The 17,641-nt window shown below is 44.0% G+C and overlaps 1 protein-coding gene and 1 non-coding gene across 3 annotated transcripts in view; both read left to right on the top strand.

Moving 5' to 3' along the window:
* Nucleotides 1–14,475, top strand: part of PUM1 (pumilio RNA binding family member 1) — a 134,212-nt gene extending 119,737 nt beyond the window's left edge. For both annotated transcript variants that reach the window (NM_014676.3, NM_001020658.2), the window contains exons 18-22: nt 498–635; nt 3,858–3,983; nt 4,709–4,830; nt 9,146–9,338; nt 12,639–14,475. In NM_014676.3, the coding sequence (NP_055491.1) occupies nt 498–635; nt 3,858–3,983; nt 4,709–4,830; nt 9,146–9,338; nt 12,639–12,770 (711 nt within the window). In that variant the 3' untranslated portion in view covers nt 12,771–14,475. The remainder of the gene's footprint in view (nt 1–497; nt 636–3,857; nt 3,984–4,708; nt 4,831–9,145; nt 9,339–12,638) is intronic.
* SNORD103A (small nucleolar RNA, C/D box 103A) lies at nt 10,205–10,292 on the top strand. The gene has a single exon (NR_004054.2). It is a non-coding gene; the product is annotated as a small nucleolar RNA, C/D box 103A (small nucleolar RNA).
* Nucleotides 14,476–17,641: the final 3,166 nt, after the last annotated feature.

Below are 17,641 nucleotides of genomic sequence, written 5' to 3'. Positions count from 1 at the left end.
GACCCCGTCTCTAGTAAAAATACAAAAATTAGCCAGGTGTGGTGGTACACACCTGTAATCCCAGCTACTCGGGAGGCTGAGACAGGAGAATTGCTTGAACCTGGGAGGCGGAGGTTGCAGTGAGCTGAGATTGTACCACTGTACTCTAGCCTGGGTAACAGAGCAAGACTCCGTCTCAAAAAAAATAAAATAAAAACACAAAAGCACTCTTAAGAGGCTTTTCTTTGTTTTTTGTTTTTACAGGTGTGAGATCTTTTTGGTTACTGGTTATTGTTACAGTAAATTTATTGTTGGAAATTTTACTGTAAATTGGCTAATGTCTGAAAAGACTCAGGTCCTCATTTGTTTCCCTGTTGTCATTGTTCCACAGCTGCTATTCCACTTTCATCATCACAGATTCTCTGTTCAGTAGTGCTTTCATGTTTGGTGAAAAGAATATTATTTGTCCACATGTTTGCTTGCTGTGATTCTGGTGGTGCTTTCTTTGTCTCCATTAGAATGAGATGGTTCGGGAACTAGATGGCCATGTCTTGAAGTGTGTGAAAGATCAGAATGGCAATCACGTGGTTCAGAAATGCATTGAATGTGTACAGCCCCAGTCTTTGCAATTTATCATCGATGCGTTTAAGGGACAGGTAAGTGACCCAGGAGAGAAATAATGGAAACAAATTTATTTCCTTTGTGAGCAGAAAACAGAGTAGGATTTGTGGCATGTTCTCAATATGCTTAATGTACTTTATTTTTTTTGAGACTGGATCCCACTCTGTTGCCCAGGCTGGAGTGCAGTGGCACCATCACGGCTCACTACAGCCTTGAACTGCCAGGTTCAAGCAATCCTCCCCCCTCAGCCTCCCAAGTAGCTGGAATTACAGGCACATACCACCACACCTGGCTCATTTTTAAATTTTTTGTAGAGACAGTGGCCTCACCATGTTGCCCAGGCTGGTCTTGAATTCCTGCACTCAAGCAATCCACCTGCCTCAGCCTCCCGAAGTTGCTGGGATTACAGGCATGAGCCACTGTGCCTGATCTTAATGTACTTTAGACTGCAGTAAAAAGCAGTCCTGTATAGTACTGTCAGGTACCTGTCTGTGTGTTGCCAAGTGTCTGGGTCTCGGTCTTCTTTCCGTCATTAATGCAGTTGTCTGCTCACATTGGGATGAAACACCATCATAAGAGTTTTTAAGATGAAATCTCATATTTGAAGAATAAATTATTTCCCTTGGTTAAGTACTATTTATTCTGATATTTCAGTGCTTTCGTTTTAAATTTGGTTTAAAATTCAGGTAATTTACGGTACTAATGTTGTAGGTCATGTGTGAATATATCTTTAAAATAACAAGGTGCTTTTTGCTTAAATTTTTTTGGAAGGGATGCAGTCCAGGTTGGTTTGAATTGTATTAAATGGCCAAATAACCAGAGATAACTTCTAGTTTCTCCTGTTTTCCTGTATATCAAAAATCTCTTCTTAGCTTCAGCTTCCAAGTAAGATTGTTACTTTTATATGTAAATACCTTTTTCCAGAATTGCTTCTGAATTGGCTATAGTTTTGTGTTTTTTTGTTTGTTTGTTTGTTTTGTTTTTTTCCAAAACACAAAGTCCTTACAGTCTCCTAAGGTGGGTGGGACAGGACAGTAAAACTCAGCTCCCCTTTGGGTGTGTGAAATTGGTCTTTCTTTAGGGAAGGGGGAAAAATGAGAAAAAGCACATAGATTTTCAGGTATAATTTATGTACTGCTGAGTATAGAGTGATATGTGATGTGTAGTAATCTTTAGGTTTTGCTGTTTGCTCAATGACCACAATGGTTGATCACTGACAGCAACCCACGTGGTTATTGGGAGTTTCTGAGTTAAAGAAAAAAGGGTAGATCTGTTTACCTTAACATTAAGATGTTACATTTATGGAATTATACAACAAAAAAGATAAAACGATAAATCCACCAGGAGAGAATATTTTCAAGATGCGACGGTCAAAGGATTGATAACTAGAATGTATAAAGAACCTCTCTAATGAAAGAAAACAATACAACATGATGTAAAAGTGAGCCCAGAACACAAGTTGACATTTCATAGAAGAAACACAAATTGCCAGTAGACATGAAAAAATACTCAGTTCCATTAGGAACAAGGAAAATGCAAAATTAAGCCACAAATAATAGACTATTATTTACCCATCAGTTGCTATGTGCTGACAGGAATGAGGTACACTGCTGGTGGGAATAGACATTGGCACAACCATTTTGGAAAATAATTTAGTATTGTCTTTCAAATTTCAACCTTCATAATTTCTGTGATCCTGTTGAAATATCTGTACATGTATACCATGAGACCTTTTAGACATGTTTAAACACCATTATTCTCTTAAAAGACTTAAGGAACCCAGAAGACCATGAGCAGGGGATTGCATTTTTTAAAAATGTCATATACATGGCCGGGCACGGTGGTTCACACCTGTAATCCCAGCACTTTGGGAGGCTGAGACGGGTGGATCACCTGAGGTCAGGAGTTCGAGACCAGCCTGGCCAACACGGTGAAACCCCGTCTCTACTAGAAATACAAAAAATTAGCCGGGTGCCTGTAATCCCAGCTACTTGGGAGGCTGAAGCAGGAGAATTGCTTGAGCCCGGGAGGCGGAGGTTGCAGTGAGCCGAGATGGTGCCATTGCACTCCAGCCTAGGCAACAAGAGTGAAACTCTGTCTAATAAAAAAAAAAAAAATTCTTTGTATATACCATGCAGAATAAACTACAGAAACTCACAGTATTGTAAATGAACATGGGAATCATAATGTTGAGTGAAATAAATCAAGTTGCTCCAGACTACAAGTGTAGCATTTTTATAAAGCTAAATTCAAGGAGAACCATACAGTATACTATTTATCTTTACGATTGTAAATATAAAGCTACATGTATAAAGTCACACATAAGGCTAGGTGCAGTGGCTCACACCTGTAATCCAGGCACTTTGGGAGGCCAAGGTGGGAGGATTGCTTAAGGCTAGGAGTACAGGAACAGCCTGGGCAACATAGCGAATCTCCGTCTCTACACACAATTTTTTTTTAAAGTAGCCAGATGTGGTGGCAAGTGCCTGTAGTCCCAGCAACTTGGGAAGCTGAGGCAGGAGGATGACCTGAGTGCAAGAGCTCAAGGCTGCAGTGAGCTGTGATCACCATTGCGCTCCAGCCTTGTCTCCAAAACAAAACAAAATCATACAGAAAGCACTGGGTGTGATGACTTACACTTGGCAAGCATCCAGTAAGTGTTAGCTGCTATTATTGCTCTTATTATTGTTCTTGATTACAGTTGTGAGATGTATGCCACTAAGCTAGGAAGGGCAGAATCTCAAGGGTAGTGTGCTTTTCTATTGCTCCAAACCCAGCAAAAGAATCTTTTCTTATTGCTGAAAAACATCACAGTTAAATCAGAACATTGCATTCTGGTTGTTCTGGCGGTGTGAAAGCATTCAGGATTTGGTCCCAGTCCTTCCCTTTTCTGTTGTTAGCGCTGTCTTTTGGAGAGGTTGTCAGTTGACACACTTGACTCTTAACTAAGTGTGTTTTTCATGACTTTGACTAGCTATCTGTTTCTTGGCGGCTTGGAAAAGTCCTTTTCAGCTCTGAATTGTGCACATCTATGAATTCCTAAAATAGATAAGCGATGAGTTTATTGATACACACACACCTTATTATATGTAGAGAGAACTTAAATGCCATTAAGTTCATTTGTGAAGATTAGTGGGATAATACATATATATATATATATATATATATATATATATATATATATATATAAACAATACTGAAGCATTGAAGGTGGTGACTGTCATTTTTGCTTCTCATTTGTGTTTGTCTACCCTTAGGTATTTGCCTTATCCACACATCCTTATGGCTGCCGAGTGATTCAGAGAATCCTGGAGCACTGTCTCCCTGACCAGACACTCCCTATTTTAGAGGAGCTTCACCAGCACACAGAGCAGCTTGTACAGGTAGTGGAGTTGCCAGTAGAGGAACTGCGAACACCTGTGGGCTTGTGCAGGGCCAGAGTTTGTGTGTTTTGTCAGTGTAGGTTCCAGAAGAGGTTAATGTGTTTTAAATACCCTTGAATCTTGTGGTTGTATTTGTATTCAGAGCAGCTTGGTTTGTGTTTTATGAATATGGGTAGTGAATTGAGCCCTAGCCCTGGAGTCAGGAGATCTGACTTCCAGAACTCTGTCATGTACTTGTGGTGTCACCTTAGGTAGACATTTAATCCCTCTGGGTCTCTGTTTCATAATCGTTAAATGAAATAAGTTGATTTGTTGATTTCTTGTTTTTAGCTTTGATACATTCTCTGCTTATACCACTGATTAAATAATTAGGTATGCCCTTGTTTTTTGTTGGACATAAATATTTCCAGTTTTTCTCTGTTATAGATAGGTGCAGTGAACCATTTGTATATGTGTTTGAGAAAAATGAATATTTACTGCCATAACACTCCCTCCCCTTTTAAAAATGAATATGTATATTCTATTGTCTAGTAATAATATGTTCCTGTTTTGTAATAATAGAGAAGAACGTTACTACCTGTCTTAAAAATTGTGTGTTCATTAGTATTCATATAAACCGTTATGGTGGTAAAAGAAAGACAGGTTTTAATTAGATATAAGGACTTAAGTAACCTGCAGAACTGGCTTTCACATACATTTTATTTCTCTTACTGTTTCTCAAACAGGATCAATATGGAAATTATGTAATCCAACATGTACTGGAGCACGGTCGTCCTGAGGATAAAAGCAAAATTGTAGCAGAAATCCGAGGCAATGTACTTGTATTGAGTCAGCACAAATTTGCAAGGTACGTGCTTTGAGTTACAAGGACTATTTCCCAGAAGAGAGGATTAGTAGTATTGAACTATAATTATCTTATTTTTTAATGTTGTTGTTGTTGTTGTTGTTTTCAAAGTATATATAGCTTAAAAGTCAAATAGTTTTATTACAAAGTATAAACTCTGAGAGGTCCCTTAGTGGGCTTCTTACTCTGATAGAGTCAGCCACTTTGAAATCTGGGGAATATGTTACTAAAGAATGTGAGTGTTACACTTTGATGAACTGAATATTTTATTAACTTGTTTGTTTGGAATTGTGAAATGTTGTTTATTCAGTTTCCCTTTTTAGCACCTGAAAGAAAGGCAGTTTACCATATGCATATCTATATATAGGCCTTAGTATTCTTAGGATCTCTTTTCCAGTCTTCATATTGTGCAAGCTCAAGAATGAAATGCAGTAGTTATTCCCAGGTTGTGAAAGGTGTCTTAGGTCACTTATAAGTAGCAGAGGTTGGAGAAGGAATCAATGGCCCTTCCATGTGGATAGTGGTATAGTCTTCTGAGAAGATACTGTATATGTCCTACTGCCCACATAACATACTATTTTTTATTTTTGGAATATATTCTTCCCTGGTTTTTAGAATAAATTGCAAGGCAGGACAGGACTCATACAACCTTGATGTTTTTAATTTATGTTATTTTTTGAGACAGGGTCACGCTCTGTCGCCCAGGCTTGAGTGCAGTGGCACAGTGTCGGCTCACTGCAAGCTCCACCTCTCAGGCTCAAGCGATCCTCCTACCTCAGGCTTTCAAGTAGCTGGGACTGCAGGCGCACGCCACCACGCCCAGCTACTTTTTTTTATTTTTGTAGAGACAGGGTTTCACCATATTGGCCAGGGGCTGGTCTTGAACTCCTGGACTTAATCCTCCCACTTAGGCCTCCCAAAGTGCTGGGATTACCAGCACGAGCCACCAGTACCTGGCCTCATTCATTTTAAATTTGTGAAATTTTATAACATGTCACAGCATGGAAAAACAGAGAAAAGAAATGAAAGTACCTGTAGATCCAGTGTCTCCATAGCCTAGCCCTATCAGGGTTATCTCTTACGACTTTATATTGTTTTGTTTTGGGGGGTTCCTTTTGACCGGTTGCCAGGACTGAGGAATGGGGATCAGAATCTCTTGGGTTCTCTTCTTCGGGTCAGTCTCCTGTTTACATTTTTGTTCACAGTATTTAATTTCTCACCCTTGGATATAGCCTAAGCATTAATTAATATTACAACAAATTCAAAAACAATTTAAAAAAAAAGAAGTTTTTATTTTTTTAAGGGACAGAGTCTGTTGCCCTGGCTGGAGTGCAGTGGTGCACTCCTAGCTCACTGCAGCCTAGGATTCCTGGGCTCAAGCAGTCCTCCCACCTCAACCTCCTAAGTAGCTGGGACTGTAGGTGCACACCACCATGTCCAGCTACAACAATTAATAACTGAGTAGCTACTGTGGGCCCAGTCCTCCCATTGATAACATGTGTAAACTGTGGACAAAAATACAAGAACTACCTGAAGACACTAGAGAGTAACCAAAGGGCAGGTGGAGACCAGAGAGGTGGGGGCTGGCATTTGGAAGAAGAGAATTGCACTGGGGAAATTTCTTATTTCTGATGGCTGTTAGCCTGTGGTCACTTCCCAGTCTTTTCCATGCTGGGCAGCTAAAGCTGGAATAGGCAATCCTCAGGGCAGCCACAACAAAGAGAAATCCTAGAAAGGGAGAGAGCCGGAAGGGGTTCGGGGGGGCCCAGTTTTAACCTTCCCCCAAGTCCGGCTGACCCCTGAACCACATTTCCAGCTAAGGCTGAAAGAATTGAACTGGGATTTCAGCTGCTGCTTACTGTATGGGAGAAGTTTGTAGTTTGACTATAGCCAAGTTAACTGCACTAAAACAGGAGTGGAGGGCACTTCTCTTTGGTGGAACATAGCAGAAGTCTGAGTTTCTGTAGCCTGTTATTCGCAGTGTCTATCTGGATAATAGGAAAATGTGACCTATACTCAAGAAAAAAGAAATAAAAATCAGTGGGTAGTCTAAAATGACCCAGTTATTGGAATTAGTAAAGAAGGATTATACAGCAGCTGTTTAAATATACTCAGGTTGTAAAGGAAAATATGCTGTAGTGAATGAAAAGATAGGAGATTTTAGTAGAAAATTATGTATGTATGTATGTATCTGTCTATCTGTCTATCTGTCTGTCTGTCTGTCTGTCTGTCTGTCTGTCTGTCTGTCTATCTATCTATCTATCTATCTATCTATCTCTATCTATGAATGAGATGGAGTCTCGCTCTGTCGCCCAGGCTGGAGTACGGTGGCGCAATCTTGGCTTACTGCAAGCTCTGCCTCCTGGGTTCACACCATTCTCCTGCCTCAGCCTCCCGAGTAGCTGGGACTACAGGTGTCCGCCACCACTCCCGGCTAATTTTTTTGTATTTTTAGTAGAGACAGGGTTTCACCATGTTAGCCAGGATGGTCTCGATCTCCTGACCTCATGATCCATCTGCCTTGGCCTCCCAAAGTGCTGGGATTACAGGTGTCAGCCACCGTGCCCGGCTGAGAATCTTATTTTAAAAAGAAAAAATAGGGGCTGGAGACGGTAGCTCATACCTGTAATCCCAACACTTTGGGAGGCCAAGGCAGGCAAATCACTTGAGGCCAGGAGTTCCAGACCAGCTTGGTCAACATGCGGAAACCCATCTCTACTGAAAATAACAAAAATTAGCTGGGCGTGGTGGCACACGCCTATAGTCCCAGCTACTTGGGAGGCTGAGTCAGGAGAATGGCTTGAACCTAGGAGGTGGAGGTTGCAGTGAGTCGAGATCGTGCCACTGCACGCCAGCCTAGGTGACAGAGCGAGACTGTCTCAAACAAAAATTTTTTCAAATGGTGGAAAAATTTACTTTGTACTCTGGGTCACCATCAAAAATGTCTGAAAGCAGGAACAGTGGCTCATGCCTGTAACCCCAGCATGTTGGAAGGCCGAGGCAGAAGGATTGCTTGAGGCCAAGAGTTCAAGACTAGCCTGGGCAACACAGCAAGATCCTGCCTCTACAAAAATAAAAATAGGGCCGGGTGCGGTGGCTTATGCCTATAATCCCAGCACTTTGGGAGGCTGAGGCGGGCAGATTGCTTGAGGTTGGGAGTTTGAGCCCAGCCTGACCAACATGGTGAAACCCCGTCTCTACTAAAAATACAAAAATTAGCCCGGTGTCATGGCGGACATCTGTAATCCCAGGTGCTCGGGAGGCTGAGGCAGGAGAAGAATTATTTGAATCCGGGAGGCAGAAGTTGCAGTGAGCCGAGATCATGCCATTGCACTCCAGCCTGGGTGACAGAGTGAGACCCTGTCTCAAAAATGAAAATAAAATAAAAAATAAATGTCTGAAAGCCACTGATGTATTTTTTTGTTTACTTCTATTGATCTATTTTCAAGTTCATTGACTCTTCTGTCATCTCTAATCCACTATTAAAGCCATACAGTAAATTTTATTTCTGATGTTATATTTTCCTTTTCTAAAATTTCTATTTTTACTTAAAAAAAAATTACTTATTTGAGGCCAGGCATGGTGGCTCATGCCTGTAATCTCAGCACTTTGGGAGGCTGAGGTGGGCAGATAACGAGGTCAGGAGTTCGAGATGGAGTCTTGCTCTGTCGCTCAGGCTGGAGTGCAGTGGCACAATCTCGGCTCACTGCAACCTCCGCCTCCCGATTCAAGCAATTCTCCTGCCTCAACCTCCCAAGTAGCTGGGATTACAGGCATGCACCACCATGCCCTGCTTGGCAGCAGGGAGATAGGCATAAGTAAGGTTTGTTCCTGGCCTTGGTGAACTGACAAAGGCGAGGAAAGAATGGACAGATTTTGGTAAGTGTTAAAATAATAACCAGCTGGTGGTGAACCAGTGTCCTGAACCTTGTGCTTAAGTCTCCTCACCTACCTGGGCTCCTTACCCTTACCCGTTAGAGGGCCGGGTCCCATGTCCTTGAAGACCTGGTCTCTCTGGGTGGTCAGTATGCAGTAGTATGGCAGTGTATAATTTGATCACCCTCTATAGTCCCCGTGGATTGGAGAAAAAATCTGATTTAATGCCACGTTCCCCCTTTCCTACGATTGGATGCCACAGATGGCACAGGTGGAGAGTCAGAGACTGAGAGAGTCAGACAGTTGGCGACTCATCTTCCTCAAATGTTAAATAGCTCTCTCTCCCTGCTGGTCCGGAGGTCAGGGCAGAAGCTAGGCAAGCACAGCCTCACTAACAGGGGCCTCTCTTGTAAGAGTTGTCCCTGGTTTTATCTCATTACAGCAATGTTGTGGAGAAGTGTGTTACTCACGCCTCACGTACGGAGCGCGCTGTGCTCATCGATGAGGTGTGCACCATGAACGACGGTCCCCACAGTGCCTTATACACCATGATGAAGGACCAGTATGCCAACTACGTGGTCCAGAAGATGATTGACGTGGCGGAGCCAGGCCAGCGGAAGATCGTCATGCATAAGGTAGGCCGGGCTGGGCAGGGTCTCAGAGAAAGTGTGCAAGGCCTTGGCTTCCTTTCTGAAACACAAAGGAGGGTGGGTGCCCTGCTGTTTTTGAAGAGTTTGTCACTGACCTCTGTCCCATGCTGTGTTCTGTTTTTCTTTTATGTGGAGTCACCATTGTCCTTACACATTTGCCAACCCTCCCTTATCAATAGCCACACTGGTATGAGAATCTTAAGCTACATTTTTTGAAATATTTCCATCCCTGATCTCTAGAGAATCAGCTTATGAGTCCAACAAATCAACTTGCCTCATTTCCTTTTCTCACTCCTCCCTTCTGTTCTTTCATCCCACCAACATCTATTGAACAAAGGCCTGCCCAGCATGGTGCATAGCCTGGTACATTGACCTGAAGCCCACTCTGTGCCAGACTTCATCAGCACAGAGATGACTAACACCTGATCCCTGCCCACAGAGTACATTCTGGTGGGGAAGAGCCATGGTGGTGAGCAGTGGTGAGGACATGAGAAGGACCCCTCACCCTTCCCAGAGTCCCTGAGGGCCGGCTTTGCAGGAGAAGGCAAGGCTAAAGAAGAGTTAGACAGGGAAGAAGGAACAGAAATGAGAATGCTTAGGTGCTGTGAGTGGGGAACTGAAAGAGAAGTCACCTGAACAGGCCCACAGCTTCTTGACAAGTCACGGCGTGGGTCCAGTGAGCACTGCAGACACCACAGGGCCCAGGAGGCAAAACAGACCCACAGGCAGGGTGTGCTACAGTTGTGTTTGTGCTGGGCAGTGCCTCCAGCCTCCGGTGCTTCTCATCTGAGCCTGCAGCTTTTGGGCTCTGAACTCACTGAGCCCTTCTCAATTGAGGGGTTGGTTGGCCATTGTCTGGCAATGATGACCCACTTGCCCTCACTGAGAACAAAGTTCGGTAATGAGAATCTTTGTTAATGGACTCAAGTTCTGAGCCAGACAAGACACCCACCACCCCTGAGTCAAGCTAAACCAATCCAAACCACTGCACTGGTGTTGGCAGTGGCAGTTGAAGGCTGGGGGAGTCCCAGGTTCTTAAAGTTGTAAGTTTTCAGGATGCTGGTGAAGGCAGAGGGAATGTTGGAGGTAAGTAGGAGCTTAAGACATGTCTATTCATTCATTCATTCAGTGCTAAACACCTGTTGTACAGCAGGTCGTATTCTCAGCAGGGTTGTATTGGTAAACGTGATAGTGCTGTGCACAGATAGTTACTGGGACACTGGAGAAATACAGGGGAAAGGGTTGTCCAGGAATGGGCAGGGTGTCTTCTATAACGTGTGGGTACAGAGGAGGCTCTCTAACGGAGTGATACTTAATAGAGTGATGACCCTTTCCAGAAGAGGGAACGTGGTGTGTGAAGACTTGGACGCCAGAGACCAGACCGTGTTGTATCTGAAGAAGTAAAACAAGTTCAGTGGAGGAGGAGTGTGGTGACAAAATCACACGTATATTTCAAATAATTGTCCTGGCTGCCATGTGGCCTTTGTAGTTTAGAGGAGGGAGGCAGTGATGAGACCACATGGGAGGCCGTCAAGGCACCAGATGGTGGTGGTTTGGGATTGAAGAGAAGTGGACAGAATAGGGTGCTAGAATTGGTAGGGCTTAGCAGTTGGTTGGCTGAGGGAGTTGACGGGGAGAGTCCTGAGAAGCCCTCTTAGTTTTTCAGCTCTTCCATTACTAAGTGGTATCCTTTTCAGCAAAAGGGACATAAGGAGAGAAGCAGGTAATTAACGTTTCACTTCTTGTTAAATCCAATAAAAAATGGAGTTCAACATGTGTGTGTGTGGCTTGTTAGGGGTTTTTTGTTTTGTTTTGTTCTGGGGAAGTACAAAGGTGAAGTGCCTGGACTTGTCAGCAGCCAGTTCCAGGGACAGAGGAATGGATTGGATTTCAGTTATTTTCTAAAAGGAAAGCTACCAAAAGCAAGGGGATCTTGAACCTCAAGTTCTCATGACAGAAACATTAGTAACATAGTATTACAACTGAAAGGAAAGTATAGCATTATTGCATACGCCGTTTTACAGGTGAGTTTAAGGGAGGTGAAACTGGAACCAAGGACTGTTTGCCACCAGCCAGTTTCCCCTGTAGGCTCCAAAGTGGGAATGTGACACCCGATGCAGCTCTGTGTCCTGGGAAGCATGCGCAGGTGATTTCTAGACCGGATCAACCCTTCCTTGCTTTGAGGACACAGCTAAACAGACAAAAATTGGTGCCCTCATGGAGCTCTCAACCTGGAGAGCCTCTGTCTACTGCGGTACATTTATCCAGTGCGTTTATGTATGCAGGTGCAGGTTTGGATGGGGAATCTGATGAATAAACTGTGGTCCTTTACTGTTTATATGGAAAGATTGATAATTAAGCAAAAGATAGCAGACACAGCTGAGGTATGTAGAATGCTCCCTGAGCTCACAGAAAAGAAAAGGGGCTTCCAGAGAAGAAGCACCTCTCAAGTTTTCTGGAATGTAGGACTTCTTGAAATGATCAGCCCAGGGAAGGAAGAACAGAAAGGAATGCTTGGAGAAGTGACTCAGAGCATAGGTCGGAGAGCCTGAGGGATGAGGCTGGTGTGGCGGGCGTGCCTTGAGAGCACAGTGGGGAGAAACCTGATTCGTGGAGGAGCCACACAGTTTGGGCTCAGCTATCTGTGCTGTCCTTTGTTAGCCATTCAACCTTGGCTGAGTGACTTAACTACTCTGTGCCTTCATGTTTTCTGTCAGTAAGATGGGGATAATCACACCAGCTCATGATGTTCATCATTTCTCTTCTTGTCATTGATTAGCTTTCTGTGATCCACTGTGACCTGGAGAGACAGGGTCAAGTGGTGAGCTCAGGATTCTGGTGACCCGAAATAACCCCCACTGCTCAGGAGAGCCTGGATGCCGTGCATGGGGCCAGAGGGGCCTGTGCTCATGCTTGCAGGGAAGCACTGTGCAGCTGGCGGGTAGTGGGCAGTGTATTTTCCCAGCTAGGATGCACTTTCTCCATGTGTTGTCCTGGGAGTGGCCCATGGCCACCCAGCCTCCAGGGTCCTCAGGCCCTGTGGCACCACTCAGGGTAGGAGCTCCTCTCCTCATCTGATGGGTTGCCAAAGTGCTAGAAGTCAGGGGACTGGGCTGAGCCAGTGAAAGGTATTGCTGTAGGGGTGTGTGTGTGTGTGTGTGTGTGTGTGTGTGTGTGTGTGTGTGTGTATGTGTGTGTGATGCATGACATGCAAATGCATGTCCGGGAAGCCTGCCCCCAAGTCTCATCTCAGGCCATGTAACACAGACTGTCTTTCCTCCCCAGATCCGGCCCCACATCGCAACTCTTCGTAAGTACACCTATGGCAAGCACATTCTGGCCAAGCTGGAGAAGTACTACATGAAGAACGGTGTTGACTTAGGGCCCATCTGTGGCCCCCCTAATGGTATCATCTGAGGCAGTGTCACCCGCTGTTCCCTCATTCCCGCTGACCTCACTGGCCCACTGGCAAATCCAACCAGCAACCAGAAATGTTCTAGTGTAGAGTCTGAGACGGGCAAGTGGTTGCTCCAGGATTACTCCCTCCTCCAAAAAAGGAATCAAATCCACGAGTGGAAAAGCCTTTGTAAATTTAATTTTATTACACATAACATGTACTATTTTTTTTAATTGACTAATTGCCCTGCTGTTTTACTGGTGTATAGGATACTTGTACATAGGTAACCAATGTACATGGGAGGCCACATATTTTGTTCACTGTTGTATCTATATTTCACATGTGGAAACTTTCAGGGTGGTTGGTTTAACAAAAAAAAAAAGCTTTAAAAAAAAAAGAAAAAAAGGAAAAGGTTTTTAGCTCATTTGCCTGGCCGGCAAGTTTTGCAAATAGCTCTTCCCCACCTCCTCATTTTAGTAAAAAACAAACAAAAACAAAAAAACCTGAGAAGTTTGAATTGTAGTTAAATGACCCCAAACTGGCATTTAACACTGTTTATAAAAAATATATATATATATATATATATATATAATGAAAAAGGTTTCAGAGTTGCTAAAGCTTCAGTTTGTGACATTAAGTTTATGAAATTCTAAAAAATGCCTTTTTTGGAGACTATATTATGCTGAAGAAGGCTGTTCGTGAGGAGGAGATGCGAGCACCCAGAACGTCTTTTGAGGCTGGGCGGGTGTGATTGTTTACTGCCTACTGGATTTTTTTCTATTAACATTGAAAGGTAAAATCTGATTATTTAGCATGAGAAAAAAAAATCCAACTCTGCTTTTGGTCTTGCTTCTATAAATATATAGTGTATACTTGGTGTAGACTTTGCATATATACAAATTTGTAGTATTTTCTTGTTTTGATGTCTAATCTGTATCTATAATGTACCCTAGTAGTCGAACATACTTTTGATTGTACAATTGTACATTTGTATACCTGTAATGTAAATGTGGAGAAGTTTGAATCAACATAAACACGTTTTTTGGTAAGAAAAGAGAATTAGCCAGCCCTGTGCATTCAGTGTATATTCTCACCTTTTATGGTCGTAGCATATAGTGTTGTATATTGTAAATTGTAATTTCAACCAGAAGTAAATTTTTTTCTTTTGAAGGAATAAATGTTCTTTATACAGCCTAGTTAATGTTTAAAAAGAAAAAAATAGCTTGGTTTTATTTGTCATCTAGTCTCAAGTATAGCGAGATTCTTTCTAAATGTTATTCAAGATTGAGTTCTCACTAGTGTTTTTTTAATCCTAAAAAAGTAATGTTTTGATTTTGTGACAGTCAAAAGGACGTGCAAAAGTCTAGCCTTGCCCGAGCTTTCCTTACAATCAGAGCCCCTCTCACCTTGTAAAGTGTGAATCGCCCTTCCCTTTTGTACAGAAGATGAACTGTATTTTGCATTTTGTCTACTTGTAAGTGAATGTAACATACTGTCAATTTTCCTTGTTTGAATATAGAATTGTAACACTACACGGTGTACATTTCCAGAGCCTTGTGTATATTTCCAATGAACTTTTTTGCAAGCACACTTGTAACCATATGTGTATAATTAACAAACCTGTGTATGCTTATGCCTGGGCAACTATTTTTTGTAACTCTTGTGTAGATTGTCTCTAAACAATGTGTGATCTTTATTTTGAAAAATACAGAACTTTGGAATCTGGGTTTGTGCTTTATTTTAACCTCTCCCCCCACCCCACCCCCAGTGTAGTTCCCCAGGACAGCCCTTTCCTGCTCATGCTTCTTTCTGCTTGTTTTGTTGTTTTGTGAGGGTGGGAGGAGAGGTGCCAAACTAATGGCTCTTTGAGCCCAATTTAAACCAAAGATGTTTGGTTCAGCCTGCCCAGTGCATTCAGAATCAAGATACTGCACATACAAATCCAGATTTCCAACTCTGCACATCAGAATATTCTCCTTGGGCCCCTGAGATGAGCTGTCTGGGTTACAGCACCGTCTGTCTGGGCCTCTCCTCCTCCGCGTTTCCTCTGTTTGGGCTGCTCCATTTGCTCCCTGCCAACCTGTGCCCACTACTGAGGCCTGCCAAGCAGTCCAATGTCTGAGCATGCTCATCTCTTCAGACTGGGGAGCCTCTTTTAGCTTGTAACACAGGAGGCTGGAGCTCACAATTGTGCCCGTGGCCCTAGCCTGAGGATGCCATCTGCCCTTCTTCACCGACTTTGCTCCAGGGGCAGATTTGGTAAGTGTTGGCAGTTACAGGCTGGGTCCAGCCAGAGAGGCCAGGTGGAAGCCCACACCAGCTGGTGTCTGGAAGTGGAGCGTCAGGATGGTTGAAGGAACTTCACATGGGCCCCTCAAGGGGAAGGGCTAATCACTAACAGGCCCTGGGAATAGGGGGAGAAGAAAAGGAAGCTGAGGGGATGCAGGTTTCCAGTCCAGCATGTGATTTTGCCTCAGCAGCTGTCGTTGGGGCCCTTTCCCAGCATTCCCCACTGCAGTAGCCATCATGGCGCTTGCAGAGGTGGCATGCTGCGGGCATTGGGAACTGCAGTCCATGCTGCTCTGATAGCATGATTCCAGTCAGATTGACCTGGGGTCACATGTGGGTCTCGCCACTCTGTGTGCACTTGGGCAAGTTAGTTCACCTCATCTTTCACCAAATTCCTTGCTGGAAGTGGACCAAAGGTAACAGATCTATGTAAAGTGGCTCTCTTGTCATGTCATGGGAAATTATGGCAATTAAATTGTGTCCAGCACACTGGTGTAATAAATGATACCAGTTTCCCTGCACAGTTTTTGATGAACAAAACTATCTTTGTTCATTAGTTTACATAATAATGTCATTTGTTGTGAACCGACTCTGCGTCAAGTCACACATGAGATGGTTTTCACATGTTCTCAACAACTGTTCTGGGAACCAACAGCCCTGTGAAGAATGCGGCTGTCCCTATCTCATAGATGTGGAAATAGGTCCTAGGATCTGATGCAAGTCTTTTGATAGACCAACTCTGATCAATAAAGCTTTCCCCTTAGTTCATCATGCGAGGGGGTGGGCATGGGGGCAGACCCCTCCATCTGCAGGATTGGGTTTCATGGAGTGGCCTGGGCTCTGGGCCACCCCCTCTTCTGACCACCATTACTCTGCTACCAAGTCCGTCCCAAGGATTCTATGGCCCGGGCTGTCGTCACACACTGGGTACCGGCATTCTTGGTCTCTCTTCCAGAGTCCCTCCAATGTGCATTCCTCAGTTTATGTAATAACCCTTACCCTCTCACAGTGCTTTACAGTTTACAGAGTACTTTGTATTTGAGATACCATTGGTCCTTGTAGAAAGCTTTAGGGAGTCAGGGAGAGATGTTTCAGCCCTTTATACAGATGAGGAGTTTGAGACTTAAGCCCCGCAGTCAGTAACCAAGTGAGGATTTTATCTGAGGGTTCCTGACTCCCAGCCCAGTGCCCTGTCCATGTCATCCTGCCCTTGCCACCCGCCATTAGCCCCATGAATGGCCATCTTCTCTTTTTGAGGCTCAGAGGGATTGCAGAAGGGTGAGGCCCTGGGGAGTGAGGCATCCTTTTGAGGGAGGAAACCTGTAACTTTATGTAGTTACCATCTGTAGCCACACGAGGGTGCTGCCACCTAAAGCGAGTATTATGGAGGCCTAAGGGTTCAAGGTCAGGGTTGGGATGGCTTTCCCCTGGATTGAAGGGCTCAGGAGTGTAGTCAGGAATCCCACCCAGAGACCAGAGGTCTGGCATCTGCCCTGAAACTAAGCTTTCTCCCTTCTTCACTCCCTCTCCTCCTGCTTCCTCCAGCGTCTGCAGTGCATAGCACTAGGCCCTAACACACACAGGGTGTCAGGGTATGGTGAGTGTGGGGTGAGAGGGTATGGTCACTGACCTGGCTCATGAACCTCAGCTTTGCCTTTGACTATGTAATCTCTGGCAAATCACTGACTTCTCTGGACCGTGGTTTCTCCAGCCATCACCTGGAGTGGTAGACCAGGCCTGTCACTCTCACAGGGCTAGTGTGAGATCACACAGGAAGACACATCACACAGGCAGCCCCTTGCCTCTGTTAATGCAACCCTGGTGCCTCTTTCTGGGGCCACATCCTGGCTTTTGCAGCAAGCTTTCAAACAACGCACACCTCCGAGTCTATTTTAATGACTGAGCTTCAAATCCCAGCTCTGCCTGGCCCTTTGTGACCTTTGTAAGTCATCTGCCTTCCTCTCTTTCCTCAGCTGTAAAATGGAGTTAATAATAGCTTTATTTCACAGGGTATATTGGAAGCCCTTGGCACACACAGGGCTGGGAACACAGTAAGCCATAAATAGGAGTTATCATTACCTCCAATTTTTCCTTGCTATGTTGGGGCCCTTGCAATTTTCACTAGGGTGAAACTGGGTGTTTGACAGGAGCTGGACTAGGTCCAGTCTAGTATACGGACTTCCAGACTGGAATCCAGATTGGGATCTGGAGGTTGAAGTGGGTATTTGACAAGAAATGAACAGGGTCCAGTTGGAGGCCTCAAGTAAGCACATATTTAGAAGGACAGGGCATTGTGTGTTCATCAGAATCTGGGGAGTCTGAAACTCCTCTGTCTGGAGCTCCAGCTAACTTTATGTTTAGAACCTGAAGATTCAGAACCTGTGCCATTCTAGTGAAATGGATGTGCCTCAGGAAGATAACTTACAATTCTAGTGGCCACAATAGGGAAGTTTTACTCTAGATGAAATTATTCATCTATGGGTACATTAAAAAAAGATGATCCTGAGTACTTAAGAAACAATGAGATGCATTGTTCGATGGTACACGGAAGCTTCCCAAAGACAGAATGACTTAAAAAAAAAAAGCCTGTCTAAAGAAATCT

Source organism: Homo sapiens, chromosome 1 (genome assembly GCF_000001405.40).
Source record: "Homo sapiens chromosome 1, GRCh38.p14 Primary Assembly".
NCBI classification, from domain to species: domain Eukaryota; kingdom Metazoa; phylum Chordata; class Mammalia; order Primates; family Hominidae; genus Homo; species Homo sapiens.
The sequence above is the reverse complement of the archived record's forward strand: the minus strand, read 5'-3'. Positions and strand labels throughout refer to the sequence as shown.